The sequence below is a fragment of the Homo sapiens genome, chromosome 8, assembly GCF_000001405.40.
Source record: "Homo sapiens chromosome 8, GRCh38.p14 Primary Assembly".
NCBI lineage: Eukaryota > Metazoa > Chordata > Mammalia > Primates > Hominidae > Homo > Homo sapiens.
The window spans coordinates 3,860,227-3,880,519 of record NC_000008.11 but is presented as its reverse complement, the minus strand read 5'-3'; the positions used below and the strand labels follow the sequence as shown (position 1 = coordinate 3,880,519).

Sequence of the window (20,293 nt, the reverse complement as noted above, 5' to 3'; positions counted from 1 at the left end):
TTTAGAAAATCAAATTTTATTTATAACTCTAAGGAAATAAAGTGAAGCAGCGAGATATCTCAAGAATTAAAATTTACATAAATATCACTCAAATCCTGGAAACTGAAGCTAATTTGGTCATGAGGCAGTTCATTTATATGGCAATTTGGCATATTGTTTACTGTCAATTAACAATAAAGAACAACGATGCAGTAATAATGGGATAGTTTTTGAAAAATGTAATCTAATATCAGCATGTAGAGCAAGAGAATTTGAGTTCTCATGAATGTTAAGAGAAGGTGATTCATATAGAATTGCACCTGAAATTGCATTATTTTCCCTAACTGCTCCTCTTGGCTATTCTTGAATCCAATTTCCTCTGTACCATGGTCGAAGGTACTAGCAGTCACAGTAGAAACTTGTGACAGTAAATGAATTTAGTAATACGTTTGTTAGGTTAGGAGTTCTCAGTCAAAAAAAAAAGAAAATCTTTTATAATCTTCGAGGATTTTATACTTACATTAGTCAGTAACTTCGGTACAGAATCAAAATTACCAGTCCATCTTAATACAATTCTAACCCATCAAATAAATATGTAGTAAGTCGTATCACATACCAAGCACTATTTCGTTATAGGGGATAAAAACGTGAATACAACATCCACACCAGAAGAAGACTAAAACGCAACACACACACACACACACGCACACGCACACCGGTACACACTCTATACACGAAATAAATGACAAATATCTGAAGCTGAAAGCAATGTTAGTTCATAGAAAAACGTGCTAGTCCACATGCAACACTTTTTCTATGTAGGTTAGGAGTTAGCCTTTCATTTTTTTCTGAGAACTATGTGACGTCAAGAAATATTGGTGTCTACACAGAAAAAGATGTTTGTGCTTTTTCATTTCTGAAACCAGTTAATAAAAGCAAATCTCATTCTGATAGCTATGTGATTGTTAAGGTAATATCAATAGAGAATGACAAAGTAGACTGTAGCGGGGGAGGAGCTACATCTTCCTTGCTCTCACGGTAACTTGGTCTCTGTCCCATTTCTAAGCAAAACGAGAAGCAAAAACCTGGGACATTGTTCTCAATGACCGGACTGATTCATTTCCTCCAGATTAATTGGCTTGTGCTACAGTGTATGAATACTTTATGTCTATAGAGATTCCTTAGATGATTCTAATGAATAATAATCTTGTAATGATTTAGATTTGGCTGCAGGACATTTTTGACATACATTTGATATTGATACATATTGATGAACAGTATGTAATATACAATCCTATATACACAGGTATAGTGTATAAATACATACCTGTATATTTCTAGGCAAAGAGAAGTGTGCTGTAATAAACCACCACCTGCTCCAGGCTTTGATAGTACTAATAAAACAAAATGATTGTTTGAACACCTAAGATTCAAGAAGATGACTACATGCTTGGGTACCCCAGAATAACTCAGATGCTATCCCTGTTCTTAGAGAACTATCCAAACTTCAGAGGTAAAATATACTAAATTATTAGTACTAATATATTATTTTTTGCTTGAAGTGCTTGCATCATGATTTTAAAAACTTAGTCATATATTAAAGTTATTTTCTGTCATGTACATTCTCTGAGACTTCATATAACTTGTGATATTGGTGAATAATTAAGCTCAGTCAGTTTATTATGGTTTGTGTCCAGGACACACTTGATAAGATATGGAAAGCTGGATTTGTGGTCGTCGTTATAGTTACTCAAAGTTTGCACAAACTCAGGAAGCATAACTGTCCAACATAAAGTACAAGGGTCTAATATTTCCCATGACACAGTGTCTCACTGAAGCATCAGACATACTAGCAACTCAGACTAGTTGAATATGAAACTACTTATTTGGGTCTTTTGGAGATTTTTCTGTCAATAAACAGAGATAGATCTTACAGATTTATCGGTAAAAATGTTTGAAATAATGCACGCAATTTTTTCTATACTTCCTATCTATATAATTTCCTTTTTCATTTTTTAAATAAATAAAAATATTAAAAAGCTAGCTTGTGTTCTACTTAGTTAATATTTAAGAGTCTGTTCATGTTTACACTGGAAAGGCAAGACTGGTATCATTGTTGATATTATTGTTATAATGTGGGAGACTCTTAGAGGCAAATCCAGGATTTTCTTCGTGTATCAAATAAAGAAGATACACGTGTAAGAATATTTTAAAGAATAGTGTAGAGAATATTATACACTGGGAGAAGAGATTGATTTATTTTAGTCCCATTCCTGGAAATTGTATATAATCTAAGAAATTATCATCTCGACTTCTCACTACTTGATATTAGTTTTATCCCTGAACTACAAAATTTGGAATTCTCCATTTGAATCTCTCGTGCAAAAAATGTACAAAGACAAAAGGAAAGGAATGTGGGCAGGGAAGGAGGAAGGAAGACAGGCAGAAGCTGATAGCAAATGTTCAATGCATGACCACCCAGCATGAATATGTAATTAGATGGAGGTACTAATAAATCATTTTATCTTTGGAAAGTTTTATCATTTACATTCAGTTTAAGTTTAAAAAAAAAAAAACTTTGCATGACCTTGATGTAGACAAAGCTTTAGGTCATGGCCACGACCTATAAAATGATTTACTTGAAGATACAATTTTCCTTCTGAATGGTTTAGTAATGTTTGTTTGTCATTATTAGACAAAATTTAAGTCAGTTCTATAAATATACAATCTCCATGATAATGTTCCATTTAACTTAACATGCCATGCTAACGCTAGATTTACATATCAAAGTGAATTATTAACGGTCAAACTTGCTATTTTATTGTGACTGCATATGAAAATATATAAAATGTACAAGCCATGTGCTCAGACCCTTATTCAGGGGAAAATAGACATTCTACTGTAAGGAGTAGATGAACTGGGCAGAAATTGTGGATTCTGGTTGTTAGATCTAACAGTGTAACCCTGAAGAGCTCATTTTTTTCTCTGGCCTTTACCTGAATATGGGGAACATCGAAGCTTGAGGGTATCCATAAGTAAATTTCCTCCCTCGTCTTAGAAGCAAATTGAGAGAGCTGTAGGGCCTGCTAGATTAAGAGAATTCATCTGGAACGCTAGACTCCGCTTCTGAGCCTGTATGGAACGTGGGTTCGGTCTGCAGCCATGTCTGGCAGGTAGCCATGGAAGAGCACATGCCTCCCCCATCATGGACACAGCTGGACACCTGGAGGGCTCCCAGCATGCAGAAGTTTCCTTTCACCACGCATCAAGGGCCACACCAGGACATCTGCTCACTGTAGGCAGGTCTCAAAGCAAGCAGTGTGGGGTGCTGAGCCCAGTGTCCACTTCCTTCTTCCAAAAGTCACTTCTCCTGTAGGAAAGGTAGAGGAAGGGATGGGGAAAGTGCAAAATTCGCCTGCTTCACCGAGGAGTTGCACTACTTCAGGCTGAATCTCCCTTGTAAGAACCTTAAGACATTGTGGTTACGACAGGCAAAAAAACACTATACGAAATGAAAATGCTCACATTTCATATGAAAGTATGTTATTGCTTGAGATCTGTGTTATGACTTATGAATTATTTCTTGTGCTTCTAAATAAATCATGATAAAAAGCCAAGCATGAGAGGCTGGACAGAGTGGATCATGCCTGTAATCCCACGCATGATTTTGGGAGGCCAAGGCGGGCGAATCACTTGAGGTCAGAAGTTCAAGACCACCTTGGGCAACATGGTGAAACCTCGTTTCTACAAAAAATTTTTAAAAACTTGCTGTGCCTGGTGGCCTATGCCTGTGCTTCCAGGTACTCAGGAGGCCAAGGCTGGAGGATTGCTTGAGCCTGGGAAGTCAAGGCTACAGTGCGCACTGATAGCACCACTGCACTTCACCCCAGGCAACAGAGCAAGACTCTGTCTCAAAAACAAAGAAACAAACAAAAACAATACCATGAAGCATGATAAAAAGCCAGTACCTCATTTTAGAATTAATAATTTTTTAGGAATAAATATGAATAAATTTCTCCTAATAAATTACATCCACACTTACACACTTACATATTTTATCAATTCTGTTAGGACTCTCCAACAAGAGACAGGAATAAAAGGAGAATGGTGTCTCCAGGCTTCTAAGTGCAGAATTCTTTAGAAATACAGGAAAGTTTATTGAGTACTCTAGGACAACACTATACATGAAAACTAACACAACAGTCATCCTGGGCTTTGAAATGTGCATCACCTTTTCCCATACTAATTCTAAAAACTTCTAAGGTAAATAAAACAACACGTGAATGCATTTGATTTTAAACGTCTGGCTTAGCGATATCAGGGGTGAGAGGAGTTTTCCCCTCCCCTCCTTTCAAACATGAGTTTCCTTCACAAAACATGACTGTCACTGGTTTCCAGAGGTTAATTTCTTGCTTTTTTAACTTATTTTTTAAAAGGAAGAAAACAAATATATAGAAAAGACAACAAGTATATTTCAAAATAGGTAATTAAAATGCAGTATTAAGATCAAAGGGTATAAAAACTGGAAATAGAACTGTAGGAAGAAATGTAAGACATGTGGCCCTTCGCAATTTTACAGTTACTCCATAAATTTGCCTCCGAGCTTCCCATTGATCTCCTCATAAAGAGAAACATGGAAATTTGCTTGTGATTTCCTACCAAGTTTGGAACACACTCTAGTGTTTCCAAAAGGCAATCCTTGATTGATCTGCAAATTCCCTCAAGCTCTCAGCTGTTTTTGTACCTTCCCTTTACCACAAAGCTTTGAGGAGGTCTTCACTGGCTGTCTCCATTTCTTTGACTGCCTTTCTTTCCTCAATCCACTCGAGAAGATTCTGCCCCCTCCCTAGACCTCAGCCAGAGCTGCTCTCCTGGAATTCACCACCCACTTCCATGCTCCGGAGGCTGTGAGGAAACTCTGGTCCTCCTCCTCTTCCTCCTCTCACAATGGGACTCCTCTCCAATAAAACATTCCTCCTGAAGGAGCCTCTCCTGCTTTCCTTCTTCCATGCCGGCTGCTTCCTCCCCTTTTCTCCACCTCTCCATGCCAGTGACCCTCGGAACCCAGTTCGGGCTTTTCCACCCATTCACCTACATCATCTCACTCCCTCCTGCAGGAACTCCTCCAATCCATAACTTCATAGACCATGTCTACGCAGAAGTCGCCAAAACGTCACTCACTGTCCTTCTTAGTATCTAATTCTCCTTCACCTAATAGAACAGCAAATTCTTTGAGTTTAGGATCCTTAATGCAGTGTAAATATTGCCTTTTATCCTTCTTCTCAGCTATGGTCTCAATTCAAATCATGAGGACCATTGTGGTGGCTCCCGAATGGCCTCACTGTTCCACTCCTTCCCCACTGCGCTACAGTCCATTCCCCAGTGTCGCATTTTACATCGAGTAATTTCCAAACCCCACAATGTGTTCCTGAAGCCCCTCTAGGATCTGGTCCCCAGGCACCTTTCTGTGTCCGCTCTTCTGCTCTTTCAGCCGCCCCAGCTCATGCCAGCCTTTGTGCTTGCATCCATTCTTCTTGAGATGATGCAGCCAGACGTCCATCCTGCTTGGCTCCTTCATGGTAGAAGCTCTCAGATTAAATGTCAGGCCCCAAGGTCTTCCCCAAGTCTTATTCAAATCACTGGTGCGCAGCATCGCAGTGGATCTCACCACCCTTTGCCGTTTTCTTAATGGGTTTATTCATCCTCCGAAATTGACCCCGTCTTTGGTGTGTGTCCTATTTAATGTCTGCATCTCCTTCCAAACCCTGTCCTTCCCCGTCACAGACATGGTATGTTCTCACCTCCATTGCCAAGAGCAGTGGGCGCCAGTCGCATTTGTTGTAGGAGGGACTTGCAGAGTTTTCATCATCCACAGAGAAAAACATGGCAGCTTCTTTTGGAAACCAAAAAACATATTCCACATGTGAGACTTAATCTACTGAATGATGCTTTTAAGAAGATCTCCATCACAGAGGCAGCAACATCTCCCTAAGATGCTGCTTGTATGTCTTCAATGAACGCCGACAGCATGTGTTTCAATGCAACGTCATAAAAGAAGTCTGTAAAAGTTCAAGCACTGAAGTCTGAGCTTTCTGGTTTCTGATTACTTAGTTTGATCCAGGGATAAAACCTATAATGACTGTAGGAGTCACTGAAAAGTACGTCTTTAAAGAGTTCTAAATACAGACAATTTTTCAAAACCTCACTTTAGATAAGAGTTACGCAGCCTGTATTTCCAAAGTACAGGTGGTCCAGGGACACAGGGACCTTGAGCATTCTAACAGTAAAATAAACATGCTCTTCATCCTTTAGAAAATTGCAGGAAGGTTAGGAAGGTCTTCTCCATGGCTGTGGAACACTAGATAATTACACTTTATAGCACATAGCAGATTGCATCCCCAGGGGAAGGGGTAGGCCTCCTGGAGAGAGGGCAGTGAAAGAACCCAGCCTGAGGATAGCACAGAGAACTTCCTAAATTTGAGGGGAGGGAAGTGGAAAGCTTTACAGATGCTAATTTGACAGAGAAGTTCTACAGCCGCACAGTGTGTATAAACAGACCTATGTCACCAACACAGCCCTCAAGACTGCACTGTTCTCTTTTCAGAATCCAAAGTCAGATCTAGTTGTCTCCAAGATCAGTGACCTCCCCCAGTTCAGCCAGTCTGGCTTAAATGAATATCTCCTCTGTGTTCCTAACATCCAGAAACTACAAACACCGTGACCATGTGTGCTTTTCTTTCTCCCAGTCTAATCAAGGGCTACGTTGGTTCAGGCCATCTGATTTTTCTCTGTATCCTTAATACTGAGAAAAAGGCTTTTTATTTATTTATTTATTTTTAACTTTTATTTTAAGTTCAGGGATACATGTCATATAGATAAACTAGTGTCATGGGGGTTTGATATGCAAATTATTTCACCACTCAGGTATTATGCCGAGTACCCATTAGTTATTTTTGCTGATGCTCTCCCTCCTCCCACCGTCCACCCTGCAGTAGGTCTCAGTGTCTGTTTTTCCCTTTATGTGTCCCTGTGTTCTTATTATTCACCTTCCACTTAGAAGGTAGAACGTGTGGTATTTGGTTTTCTGTTGCTGTGTTAGTTTGCTAAAGATAATGGCCTCCAGTTCCATCCATGTGCCTGCCAAGGACATGATCTCATTTTTTTTTATGTCTTGATAGTATTATATGGTATATACATATCACATTTTCTTTATCCATTCTACAGCTGATGGGCATTTAGGTTGATTCCATGTCTTTGCTATTGTGAATAGAGCTGCAGTGAACATACACCTGCATGTGTCTTTATGATAGAATGATTGCTGTTCCTTTGGCTACATAGCCAGTAAAGGGATTGCTGGCTTGAATGGTAGTTCTGTTTTTAGGTCTTTGAGGAATCATCATACTAGTTTCCTCAATAGTTGAACTAATTTACACTCCCACCAAGAGTGTATACATGTTCCATTTTATCTGCAACCTTGCCAGCATCTGTTGTTGTTTGATTTTTTAATAACAACAATTCTGAGTAGTGTGAGATGGTATCTCACTGTGGTTTTGATTTGCGTTTCTCTAATGATCAGTGATGTTGAGCTTTTTTTCATATGATTGTTGGCCACATGTATGTCTTATTTTCAGAAGTGTCTGTTCATGTTGTTTGTCCACTTTTTAATGCAGCTGTTTTCTTTTTTCTTTCTTTTTTTTTTTTGGAGCTGTCTTATTGTAAATTTGTTTAAGTTGCTTACAAATGCTGGATATTAGATCTTTGTCGGATGGGTAGTTTGCAAAAAATTTCTCCGGTTTTGAAGGTTATCTGTTCACTCTGTTAATAGTGAGAACAAGGCCTTCTAAGTAGCACGAGGCTCTTCATGAATGAAGGGCTCAGGAAATAAACTCATTAATAAATTAAGAGAAAATGAATGGATTGTGGAAACTGACATGAAATGAATGCCTTTTTACTGAACTCTATCAAGCAATTCTGAAACAGACAACCTCAGTTCTTGAGATCAGCCTTTCAGTGACCTGGCAGAACATTACCTAGTTCAGGCACCAGGGAGCACATTTTACCTGCCTTGTCCCACAGCTTTTTCATTTGCACAGTGGGCTTCGGATAATGCGTTTTAACTGGACACTTCAGGAAGGTAGTAATGAACAGTTGAGAGTCACTGAAGCAGGGACATCTTGCCAACACAGCACCTGGCACTTTGCCGGGGGAAAGCTGGGAGAACTGAGAATGAGCCAGATGGCACTTACAGGGTGACCCCAAACCTGACACGTTCAGTTCACAGAAGAACCCTTTTCCCTAAAAACAACAACAACGACAACAACCAGAATGAAGTATACGATCTCACATTTCCATTAAACACTGTAATTTAACTGAGGATCCAAACACGGGTTAAAACAACATGAAATGAGAAAAAGAACAAATAAGAATGGAAAGAAATTTGAGAAAACCAAAAGGGAATTGGCCTTTCAGCAGGTTGTATCCTAAAAGAGCAATATAATGTATCCAAAATAATGTGTTAACCACTATACTCACTGCACACCATTGCATAGGAAATAGTGCAGGTTTGTAGCTCACAAATAGAAAATGGCAAAACTTAGGCTGTGTTTTTCAGAAGATTAGGGCTACGTTAATTCATTTTATCTTTATTTCAAAATCAACACCTGTTATTTTCTTTCAGAAGGGAGTTCTTGGCTCACAAGCTAATTGTGTAATAGCCTTCACAAGCTTCACACTTCATTCACATCAACAACTCTTACATTTAATCTTTATGTCATCCACCATTTTACCCACATTCTCAAATGTTAGAAGGGTGGATTTCAAAAGCAATTTTTTGAGACACATTTACCTGGGTGAAAATGATTGACCTCTGTATGAAAAGATTAAAGGTTGAGACTAATGGTAAAGTGAGAAAAAATATATCCTGTATAATCTGAATTTGAAGACTAATATTCCTAATATATAAAAATTATGAATCAATAATAATAACCTAATAGACTAAGAAAAATTAAAATCAAGCATTATTCATTATGGAGATACAAATGTTTATTAAGTCTATGAAAATAAATTCAACCTCACTAGTAATTTAGAATAATGCAAGTTGAAATTAAATGATGCATGTTAAAGGAAAATAATGCAAGTTGAAGAAACCAATGCAAGTTTTTTTAATCCATTATTTTAGTAAGAGACATAATAGTTGTCAATATCAACTATGATGTTGTGATTTTCCAACACTACTAGTAGGAGTATAAATCAGTGCAGCTTTTTATTGAAGAGTAATTTGGCATTATTAAGTGCTAAAATATGTATTCTCTAATTTTAATATAGTTCCTTGGTACACATTGTAGAAAAATATTTGCACATTTGCATTAGAAGGCAAATAAAAGTATGATGAGTGAGGTATTACTTGTTTTAAAAAATTGAAAATATTCTAGATGTCTATTAATAGGACAATTGTTAAATAAGGCTTAACATACGTAAGTCATGGAATAATACACAAAGATGGAGATTTATATGTATTGAATTTTTTTAAAAAAATTATAACACATTGAATGAGAAAAAATTAACTTATATTTAAGAATATAAAACAAAAATTTACATTTATGAATACATAAAAAGCTATGTACATGCAATAAAAGAAGAAAAGCTAGCAAACGGAACATTAAACTCAGGCATCTAAGGAACCTAAGACAGAATGGTGTTAATGTTGGAGATGCTTCTTTCTCTCCTGTGTATGTTTTACAATAAGAATGCAATTCCTGAGTAGCTCTAATTAATATACATTTATTTATGGTTAAAAATGGCCATAGGACATTAACAGAGGAGAATATATAAATGAATATAAATCAGATAATACTTAACATCCCTCTAATATTCAGGTAAATAAAAGCAAAAATAAGTAGATCCCATTTCACCTGTAAGATTCATAAACATATTGGAAGAGTTTGGGGAAAGAGATCCTCTGTTACAAATAGTTGGAGAGAAATGGCTGGACATTTCTGGAGGGTAATTTGACCATAGCTCTCAAACGGTAAATTTTTCTTAGACATTAATCCCTCAATTTCAACTCTAATAATTTCTTTGAGAGAAATACCCACCAACATGTAAAGATATATGCATATAAATGTTTCATGGAGTGCTATGTGCATAGCTGGGGGAAAAAAGAGGTATCCATAAGGCACTGGTCTTTTTACATATGTGCTACAAATCATCATAGTAAAAATAAAAATAAAATCTGAGGATATATAATGTGGAAATATTGGTATGTAACACGTTTACACAGTTGAATAATCTTAATTTCAGTGTACTATTAATTTTGCTAGAAAGAGAAATATGGTTGACATTTTCTTCTTGACTTTCTGGAAGAACCTCTTTAACCAAGATTCAAATTGTAAAATAATGTGTAATCTCTGTTTTTATTCTACCTGTTTATAGAGTGCATGTTATTAGTAGATAACTTAATAATCATTATACCCAGAGGGTATGCTTACAGTTAAGCAATGAAGAGACGCCTACTTTTTGTTTAATGTATTTCTTTACACTTTTCCTCTAGTTATGTATTATTATTGTAATTTTAAAATATATAGATGACATATAGCTAGCTCACTCTCTTTTGCTTAAGGAAAGGGCTAGTTTTTCCTTTAAGCCCTTCAAGCACTACTGATACAAAATTAGATCAGTAAGGATAATTCATAAAAGCATGGAATGTGATTATTAAGTGGCAGTTGATACGGAAATCTGGCAAGCTCCCATCTTGCCTTCCCTGACATCAAACCCCTGGCCCCGTGTTGCCTGCTAGTGCTTCTGCTGGGGTGGGTCCTGCCAGGATGAGCTTCCCCACATGCTCCTGGCTGCGCGCACCTGTGCACCTTTCCTCCTGTGGCAACTAGAAAGGCAGAACTTTCCCCAGGTTAGCTCAGCGGTGAGAAAGTGCATGTTTTCTCTCACTATTTATATCTGATAGATAGGTTTATATCTACCTGTGAACCAAGTCAGGCACTCTCAGGAAGAAATGATAAAATATTGTTAAGCATATCAAACGCATTCAGCCTCACTAGCCATTTAGGGGAATGCAAGTTAAAACTAAGGTGAGACACGCTTTATGAAGGCAGGACAGGATTGGAGAAAAGGAGTAAACAAAATAAGTCAATTTCATAGACCTATCAGTCTCTATGTATTATATAATTTTATTATACAGGATATAGTATAGCCACAGGTGATACATGCCATGGAGAGAAATGAAGCAGAGAAGGAGAATGTGGTGTGTCACAATTTGAGAAAGAGACCCTTGAGTGAAGGCATGCAGTGCTAGGCAGAGCATCAGAGAAACACCGAGGTGGAGGGCCTAGTGCAGAAGCCTCAGGGTGCAGCACATCTGTGTATTTCAGGGCACGGTGTGGAGACAGGTGGAGCTGGAGCTCTTGGCTTGTGAACAAGGAGAGTGACACTAGACACCAGGTCCCTAAGGTCATGTCAGCGTGGCAGCCACGAAGGGACCCTGAGGGCACTGTAAATATGCTTGCAGCTGTTACTTCGAGAGAGCTGGAAAGCCATCGGCATCATCTGAGCAGAAGAGTTATGTGACTTAGGTTGTAATGGAGTCTCTTTGGCTCTGGGGTGTTAGCCAGGGAGGATGTTGGAAAGATGGAAGCAAGCACACCAATTAGAAGACGATGGTAACAGTCCAGCCTGAGAAAATGGTGGCTTGGATGAGCACATTGGCCATGAAACACGACTGATCAGATTCTACTTATATTTTGAAGGTATAGCGAACAGAAATTGCTGATGTGTTGGATGTGGGTTGAGAGAGCAGAGGGTCAGGAGTGCCCCCAAGGCTTTTAGGAAGGATAACGCTGCATTCATGAGATGGAAAGATTGCAGAGGTATGAGTTTGAGGAGAAATATTAGGAACTTGTTTATATGCATGTGAGGTTCGGGTCCTATTGCGTGAGCTGAGTGGGCTGCTGGACCCTCAAATCCACATTTCAGAACAGGGTTCAGGCTGCAGGTACGCATTTGGGAATTGGTGGTGTTGGTAAGTGTTCTTTGTGTCTGTTGAATGAGAGAGCCCCTTCCTTTTGGCTGATGCAGGTGGCATGGGATCGGCTTACAGCTGCCCCCCAGCTGCCCTTGTGTGGACCATCTGCACAGCAGGGACCTGTGGCCTGCAGATGGCACTACTGGAGACTTTAGGGAGAAAGGAAGGCAAAAAATAAATGTCTCCGGGTGAAAATGAAATCTCTCCTGCAAGCAGGGCGACTGAAAAGGCACACTTCAGAGCAATGGTCATAAAGTTAAATGGAGATGCCCCCCCATCCTCGTTCTGGGTTTTTTCTACAGGCGCAGTACATCCAACTGCACCAGGTGTTGGTTCAGCAGAGTGGAGTGGAATTAGGGCTGTGATTTCTGCCAAGCAGAAAGTGCTAGGATAATTTAAATACTGTGCATGCAAGGAATTAAGCATCATGAGAGATATGGCAATGGGTGATAGGGACAGATCAGGGTGCAGGGCCAAATCAGGATTGGAGAAGGAAGGATGAGGTGTGTGACCTGAGAATCTTGGGTCTCCCACAGTGACATAAACACCAGAGAAGACATACAAAGATTGGCTGTAAGGGTGTCCAGGCAGGAGGCGGAGGTGACACAGAGTCTTGGGAACGGTTCAGGAAGATCTGGCCAGTGGTCCATGCTTCTTCAATCCTGGAAATGGAGGCCTAGAATTGAGGGAAGGTCAGTTGGAATGTGAGTCATACTCCACATATACAGGAAGCTGCCTGGCCCTGGGAGGAGGGTTCCTGTGCCAGTGTTTGCATAAGCAGCTATTATTATTAACAACTGCATGAGTTAAGTGTAGTACATGGTTCTAGGTTTCTGTGAAGATTAACCAAGATACTATACATAGATATAGATATATAAATATATAGATATATGTATAGATTAAAATTTTTGTTTAGGTTTCAGATATCCACACAGTTCATTAGAGGATTAGACGTCTCTCACTAGCCTTCTGTTGTCTGGGACACATTAAAACATATCTGTTTTATTCTGACACCCTCTTCAGCAGGTCAGATATATTTTGTTTAGTTATTTAAACCATAGCCAGGAAGACTCAAGGGCAAATACTCCTGAGTAAGTATCCTTAAAAGAAAAGAATGGAAATTTGGGGTATTATAAAGTTCAATAGAAGAGACATCCAGTCTGTCCTCCTAGGCTACCCTACTGTTTGTGGTAATCATTAGACTGGTCATGGTTTTCCTTATATTCAAGATATGTAATGGTATGGTCTTGCTTCTTACACTAGCTAGCTAGTTACTAATTTATTCATGCATTAATTCACTCTTTTGTCTATATATACAATTGACAAGACCAAAGACCAGTGAACTATTCTGCCTTTTTCCACCACTCAGTGGAAAAACAGTATAGTAGAAAAAAAATCAATCAATCAAAATGGTTACAATATTTTTAAAAAACTGGTTGGAAAAGTAAAAACTAAATAGCAATTCTACAAGTGCATTAATTTAATGCACAGAATTAAAAATATTGGCTGACTCACCACTTTTATGGTATAAGCAAAATGGTTTTTCATGAAAATGGTGGTACTTACAAATCCATACATGCATATGTCCAGTGGCAGTATGAAAACATCACCATGTCTTGCAGGAGGATTTGCAGCAGAACTGGAGTCCTAGTAACATGGTAAATTTAGTTGATTAATACCGATTTGAAGTCCTTCATATTAAGGATTTGTGAGCCGTTATTGAAGGAAAGAGTCCTCACTTTGCATATGTTTGTACCATCAGGAGAATCCCTGTGGCTTTGTAGTGGCCAAGGACTACCTTATGGAATAGCTTTGAGAACAGCTGTATCTATAGAAATCTTATAAGCTTATTATTTCCTGAATCACATTCCAAATAGTGACTTTGGGTTTGAGGGATGGAAAGAAGAGACTATAAGGTGTTTTCAGTGGCTAGTGTCATCACCAGAACTAAAAAGGTCATTTAAAGACCAAAACGTACACATTAGATCATGATGCTTTACCACGTCAGGCACCCAACAGGAAATGTGTAAAATATTAATATCACAAGCACACACTATTTAAACATATCAGGTAATCAAATTGGAAACGCTTCCATTTACTAAACCATATGAGCTAAGCAATGGTAAATGAAATACATGAATGTTCTGTATTCCAGTAAAAGGACAGAAATGCCAATCCCCAGGGTTCAGCCAGCCTTTTACAGCAGCTTCCTTTTAAGAAGTATTTATTTAAAAATGTTGTTTATAGGTAATTACAAATGGTATTCAAAATCTGTGGCAACAAAACTAGAATTAGGAATAATGCTTTACTCATTTAGGCTTAGATGTGTATGTAGTTGTGAATTAAAACCTTAATGTTATATCTTCAGAGTATTCATAAACACTTACATATGGAATAATGTAATCCTTATTTGGAAGAAAGCTCATGAATAGAATTTTTAAAGACATTTTACTTGTTCTTTTTAAGTGTTACTGTGTTTTCTGGTGGCGATTTATCTCACTAACATGACTACAGATGATGGTGAAATTCCTTTCACTTTTCATTATTTTAATTACATTCCCAGACACGAGGGAAACATGAGGAGTTAATTAATGTGGTTTTGACAATTACTTGTAAATATTGCTATTTATAATTCTAGTATACTATAACACGTGTTTCCAGCTCAAATGGAGCAATGTGAGAAGGGTATTTACAGTATACCAAAAAAAGAGGCACTTATTTTAGAGAAATATGACGGAAACCTAGCAAATAGCATTACTCCATTAGCATGTAAGCTGTGAATGGAGATTTTGTTGTTGTATTTACTGCTCCGTTGGAACCTAGAACAGTGCCTGGTACTTAACAGGACTGATGGAATTTCATCGATGATGTGAATAAATACATGAAGGAATAACACATTGGCGCTTTGCTGATGAGAGGCACCTGAATTCTCCTGCGGCTTCCCACTGTACGTGCCTGCTTGGTCCCTCATTGCCTCCACCCCCAACTCTTTCCCCCACTATTGTCACCCTTTTCTGATTTCCCAGAGCACCTCCCATCTCTGAAGAGCACCTGTGACTCTGCCTCTGAGCCCTCACAGTCTCGCTTGCAGGCAGAGCTGTGCAAGGAGCCCAGGGACTGAGGGAATGTGTTCAGTTGCAAACCCAGTTTCATACCAGCAAGAGCATTTCAGAGTTTACAGATTAAAAATTGAGTGCGTATGTCACATTGAAGTACCGCTCTCTGAGATGTGAGGCAGAAGTAACTTACTGTCCCTACTTGGTTGGTAGTTGAGGACAGAGATGATGACTTATGTCTGTCATTTTCCAAGATGTTAAATATCAGAGGTGCCTCTACACCCAAGGAATCGGAGCCTGAGCTGGAACACACACAGAACAAATGATGAGAAAGTGAGGCCAGAATAGTGTGTGGAGTATTGTTACCAAAGTAACACTGTTGGCATATGCCGAGAAATAGAATCAAAGCATGTCTTACTTGACAAATTAGGAGATTAGCTAGCACCTCAACCAGACTAAAGCAGATGATGTCATGCTGCCAAAACTGGAAGGAAAAGCTGCTCGTTCACCCAGAACAGAAGTCCGAGACCACGTAGAGCAATACTTCTTGTTTTACTAAGTATACAAAGAAATTAATTATTTAATTCTAGTCTGGCCAAAACTAGGAAAATGTCTAGGAAATGTTTCTGTATAACAAATAGCTCTTTAGACCCTGAAGAGCTATAATAACATCTAGTTAACCACGATGGTGCCTATAGTTTAATTTACTAGGAGAGGAGGGGAGTGTGGAATTACCATAATGTTCCAACCTCCCAGTAGGGCACCTTCATCAGTCGAAAGTGTCTTCTTCAGGGGAACATCACACACCGGGGCCTGTTGTGGGATGGGGTTACTGGGGAGGGATAACACTAGGAGATATACCTAGTGCTAAATGACGAGTTAATGGGTGCAGTACACCAACATGGCACATGTATACATATGTAACAAACCTGCACGTTGTGCACATGTACCCTAAAACTTAAAGTATAATAAAAAAAGTGTCTTCCTCCCTCTTTTCCTTAACCCCTTCTCATACTGTATTCCTTTCTTCTCATGCTTTTTCTCACCTTCATCTTTGCACCTTTTGATTAAAAATGTATATACCTGCCCCTTCTGTGGTTATCTATGCATCGTCTTTCATAACCATAACTGTCCTCTCATAGGAAAAGAGCTCAACAAATATTGGCCAAATTATTGAGTTATGATTCCCACAGGAGTTTAATTTTAACAACAGTCTATGGGTTTGTATGAGCAAGGAGTATTTCTGAATTATTATTCTGTTTTTATCATTTAGCAGATTTCCTATAATATTAAAGGTGATCCATAAATGCTGGTCACATTTTTTTTTAAAATATCAACAGCTTTAAAAATCAGGTGAAAATATTGTATGTTTACTTAAATATTATCTGGGCCATCTTCACATTCATCTTCACTAAGATTTGCAAACCTGTTTACTGTTTGTTTCTGCCTTATGAATTTTCTACAAACCTAGACTGCAGCCTCAGGAAAAAGAATCAGACCTCTAAACCTCTGGAGGTCATTTTTCCATAAGCTTCTAAAGGATACGTGTCAGTTTTATAGTCATCATACGAATCTTTGAAACTGAAAGAAGTGGAAGAAATTAAACTCTGTTTTTTCTGATTTTTTTTTTCGTCATGAATAATAGAAGATTGTAGAATTTTTAAGCAGAAAAACTAGTAGAAAATTCTCTTCTGGGTAGTTTAACATTTGAAATGAAAACAAAATCTGAATTAGAGACCATGTATGTTATTCTTTTGTTCACTGAGCATATATGAGAAATGTGTGTGTGTGTGTTAGAATATTTGTAACTTACAGTAGCTGAAGTGAACAAAACATACATCCTACTGCAAGGTTTGATGTCAGGCTTAGATTATATTTTTGTAAACAGTGCGCTGTGGTCTGAATGTTGGTGTCCTCCTAAAATTTGAATGTTGGAGCCCAATATCTGATGTGGTTCGTATTTAGAGGCAGGGAGATGGGGTCATTGGGAAGAGACTAAGTCACGAAGATTCTACCCACATGAATGGTATTAGCACTTTTTTTTTTTTTTTTTTTGAGCAGAGTATCATTGCTGTAGCCTAGGCTAGAGTGCAGTGGCACGATCTCAACTCCTGCAACCACCATCTCCTGGGTTCAAGCGATTCTCCTGCCTCAGCCTCCTGAGTAGCTGAGATTACAGGTGCCTGCCACCAGACCTAGCCAGTTTTTGTATTTTCAGTAGAGATGGGGTTTCACTATGTTGGCCAGGCTGGTCTCAAACTCCTGACCTCAAGTAATCCCTTGACTTGGCCTCCCAAAATGCTGGGATTACAGGCATTAGCCACCGCGCCCGACCTTCGCACCTTTAAAAAAGCTTGAGGGATCTCTCTTGCCTCTCCTTCCACTTTGACGATGCTGCAGGGAGGTGCCGTCTTTGAGGCAGAGACAAAGCAAATCTTACCAGATACCAAATCTGTTGGTACCTTGATATTGGAATCTCCAGACTCCAGAATTGTGAACTATAAATTTCTGCTGTTTAAAAATCCCCAGACAAATGTAATTTGCTATAGGTCCTGGAATGAACTAAGACACAGTAATAATAGCATAAAACTAATGACCAAGAGATTTTGACACCTGCCCTAACTTGCCATTTGAGGGCAGGCAATGCTGTTGTGATAGGCAGTTAACTTCTCTGTGTGTAATCTCGTCAGTGGCAAAACAAACATAATCATTTCTCCTAGCCTCCCTTACTCAGTTGTTTTGGAGATCATTTGAATTCCTATATAGAAAAGCACGTTGAATGCAAATAACCAAAGAAATATTTAGAGATTTGGTTTATTCAGCAAATAGAGAAATATAGTATGGCCATGTATAAGCAAATTCTAGCTTAAGTAAAATATACCATAATTACAGGTGCTGAAAATCTCAAAGAAAAGGTGAATTTTATGGTAGCAAACAGTTGTAAGGTCTGGGAAAGGCGAACTTTGAGTTCTGGCGAAAGGCTCACATTTGAATTACGAGAAGGAACACTTATTCCAGGAGAATGTAATGAAAGACAAGTGAGAGAAAAATTCAGGAAGAGAAAATGAAAGGGCCACATCAGAGGATAAATCTGAGGAAGCAAAGTGAGGTCACCTGGTGGACGCCCTTGGGCAGATGACAGAAAGGAGAATGTAAATTCGTTCTAAGAGGTAATGGTAAGTTATCACAGTCCCCTAAGTGGAAGCTGTGTATGAGGTAGGTTAAGGCAGTTATGTGTCATAATTTGTAAAAGAGTTAGAAAAACCTGCTATGATGTTGTATAGGTAGAAGGCAATAGAGAACTGAATTAAATTCACAGCAGGGCAGATTAAAAAGTTGAAAAAAATGATAGTGTATTTTCACTGATGGCAAAAAGAAAGGCACATGGGAGAGAAAACTTTGATTTAGCAAGCAATGGTTGGGGCATGGAATGATTGTGTTGGTTTTAGATGTTCCACAAGATATAAACACATTCATCACAGAAAACAGATATTAAACCAGGGTACAAAGATTGACTTTCCAGGAGCAAGGAAATCCTGGAATGCAGGCATGTTGGATGCTATGACTTCCACTGTGGGTTTTCTTAGGCTCCATTAGACATTTAAAAGCCAGTGGCTTCATAGGTCACATCTGTAATCGGCACACTTAGAAAGATAAGCAGACAGGATACTCAGTGGGCCAGTAGAAAAGTTAGGATATTTCTTTTGGTAAAATCTTTATAGCAGACAAAACACAAAACGAATAAAAACCAAACCAAACAAAAAACCCTATTCTCTGGACCTCCAATAACAGGAGAGCCATATACATCTCCAAGACAACAAGCTTCACCTAGATGAATGTGAGGTCACTTCAGCTCAGAAACCCACATACCATAGGAGCCATTCCCAAGTAATGCTCACGTGGAGTTAAATCCCAGAATTCTCCCAAGAGGCATCAGGTGCAGGTTCAAAGGCACAGCCCTCACGAGTCCAAATCTATGGCCTCTCAAATGCTATAGGTTGTTCATTCATAGTACCCCCAGTCAGATGCAATTTACCAATCAGGGTTATTTTCACCATGAACAATGCTGTCTGCTAAGACAGCTCATATTTTACTTTTATCAGAGTTGTGGAGCCCGGCAGTTATGCCAGCCAAGATAAAATATTCATGTAGGACAAAGGAAGGTTTAATGATCTTCTCAAGTGCAGGTACATAGTACGTTGGTCTCCGTTAGAAACCCACAGGCGACTGCAATCACATTAGACAACTGAACCTCGTTGCCAAGAAACAGGTGAGGAGTCATGAAGGAACCAAGGACAGTGTGTTAAAGGTGTGTTTTTGGCATATGATAGAAAGCCACGTCCTGTTTTCGAGCTCACTAGAAGTTGGCATTACAGCTGATACTGAAAAAGGAGGGGAGAGGAGCAAATTAAGAGCAGCAGTTCATACAAGGAAAACTTACATATCTGTCATACTTTCCATGCTTTGTCTTTCATTTGTCATTTCATTTTGCATGAAGTATATCAACTAGAAAATATATTTTAAAAATAATTCTATAGTATAGAGACTAGATTTCTAGTGCTAACCTGAACTTAAAGTGAACTTTGGATCTTTTCATGATTGTATATTTTTCTTAGAGAACACGTTTGTTCACCAGAAAACTATGGTTAGAGTTAAGTGTTGCAGAGTAAAACAGCTCTACTCTCTCCCTTCAAACTTACCTGGGTTCAAAATGTGGACTTTGCTATTAGCGTGTATTGCATTTAGTTCATCTTACAAAGTTCTGTGGTCTTAAGAATAAGAAAAATAATAATTAACCGGATTATGGTGAAAATTAATGGACTGTAACTAATAGTGTCTCTTATGTTCATATATGATGTGTAATATGGTTAGCAATACATATGCGTATTTTCTGATATCATTGGTAAATCCAGGCCACCAGAGTAATTTATGTACAAGGTACCTTGCATAAAGGAACTTCAAGTACATTTTAAAAACTATATTAGCAAACTCCTACATTCAAATAGGAAAAAAAAGTTTTATTGTTTTAGTAACATAGAAACATTGAGTCCATTTTGACTGATGATTTTTTTAATATATCATAAAATAAAAATGAACTGAAATTGCCCTATACTTGCTGGCTGTGTTGAAATTCTAAAAGATCTTTGTTTTTATGGACGTTTCCCAAGGGCAGAGTTCTCAGTAACTTCACAATGGTCTGACTGAAACAGAGTAGGCAGTTGGA

At 38.5% G+C, this 20,293-nt stretch overlaps 1 protein-coding gene and 1 long non-coding RNA gene across 4 annotated transcripts in view; one reads left to right on the top strand and one right to left on the bottom strand.

Moving 5' to 3' along the window:
- Positions 1–20,293, top strand: part of CSMD1 (CUB and Sushi multiple domains 1) — a 2,059,554-nt gene that overhangs the window by 1,114,395 nt on the left and 924,866 nt on the right. The gene's annotated exons all lie outside the window — the stretch shown is intronic.
- Positions 11,178–19,055, bottom strand: LOC105377790 (uncharacterized). The gene is made up of 3 exons (XR_941369.3): positions 18,969–19,055; positions 13,580–13,660; positions 11,178–12,689 (listed from the first exon to the last, which is right to left on the bottom strand). It is a non-coding gene; the product is annotated as an uncharacterized LOC105377790 (long non-coding RNA).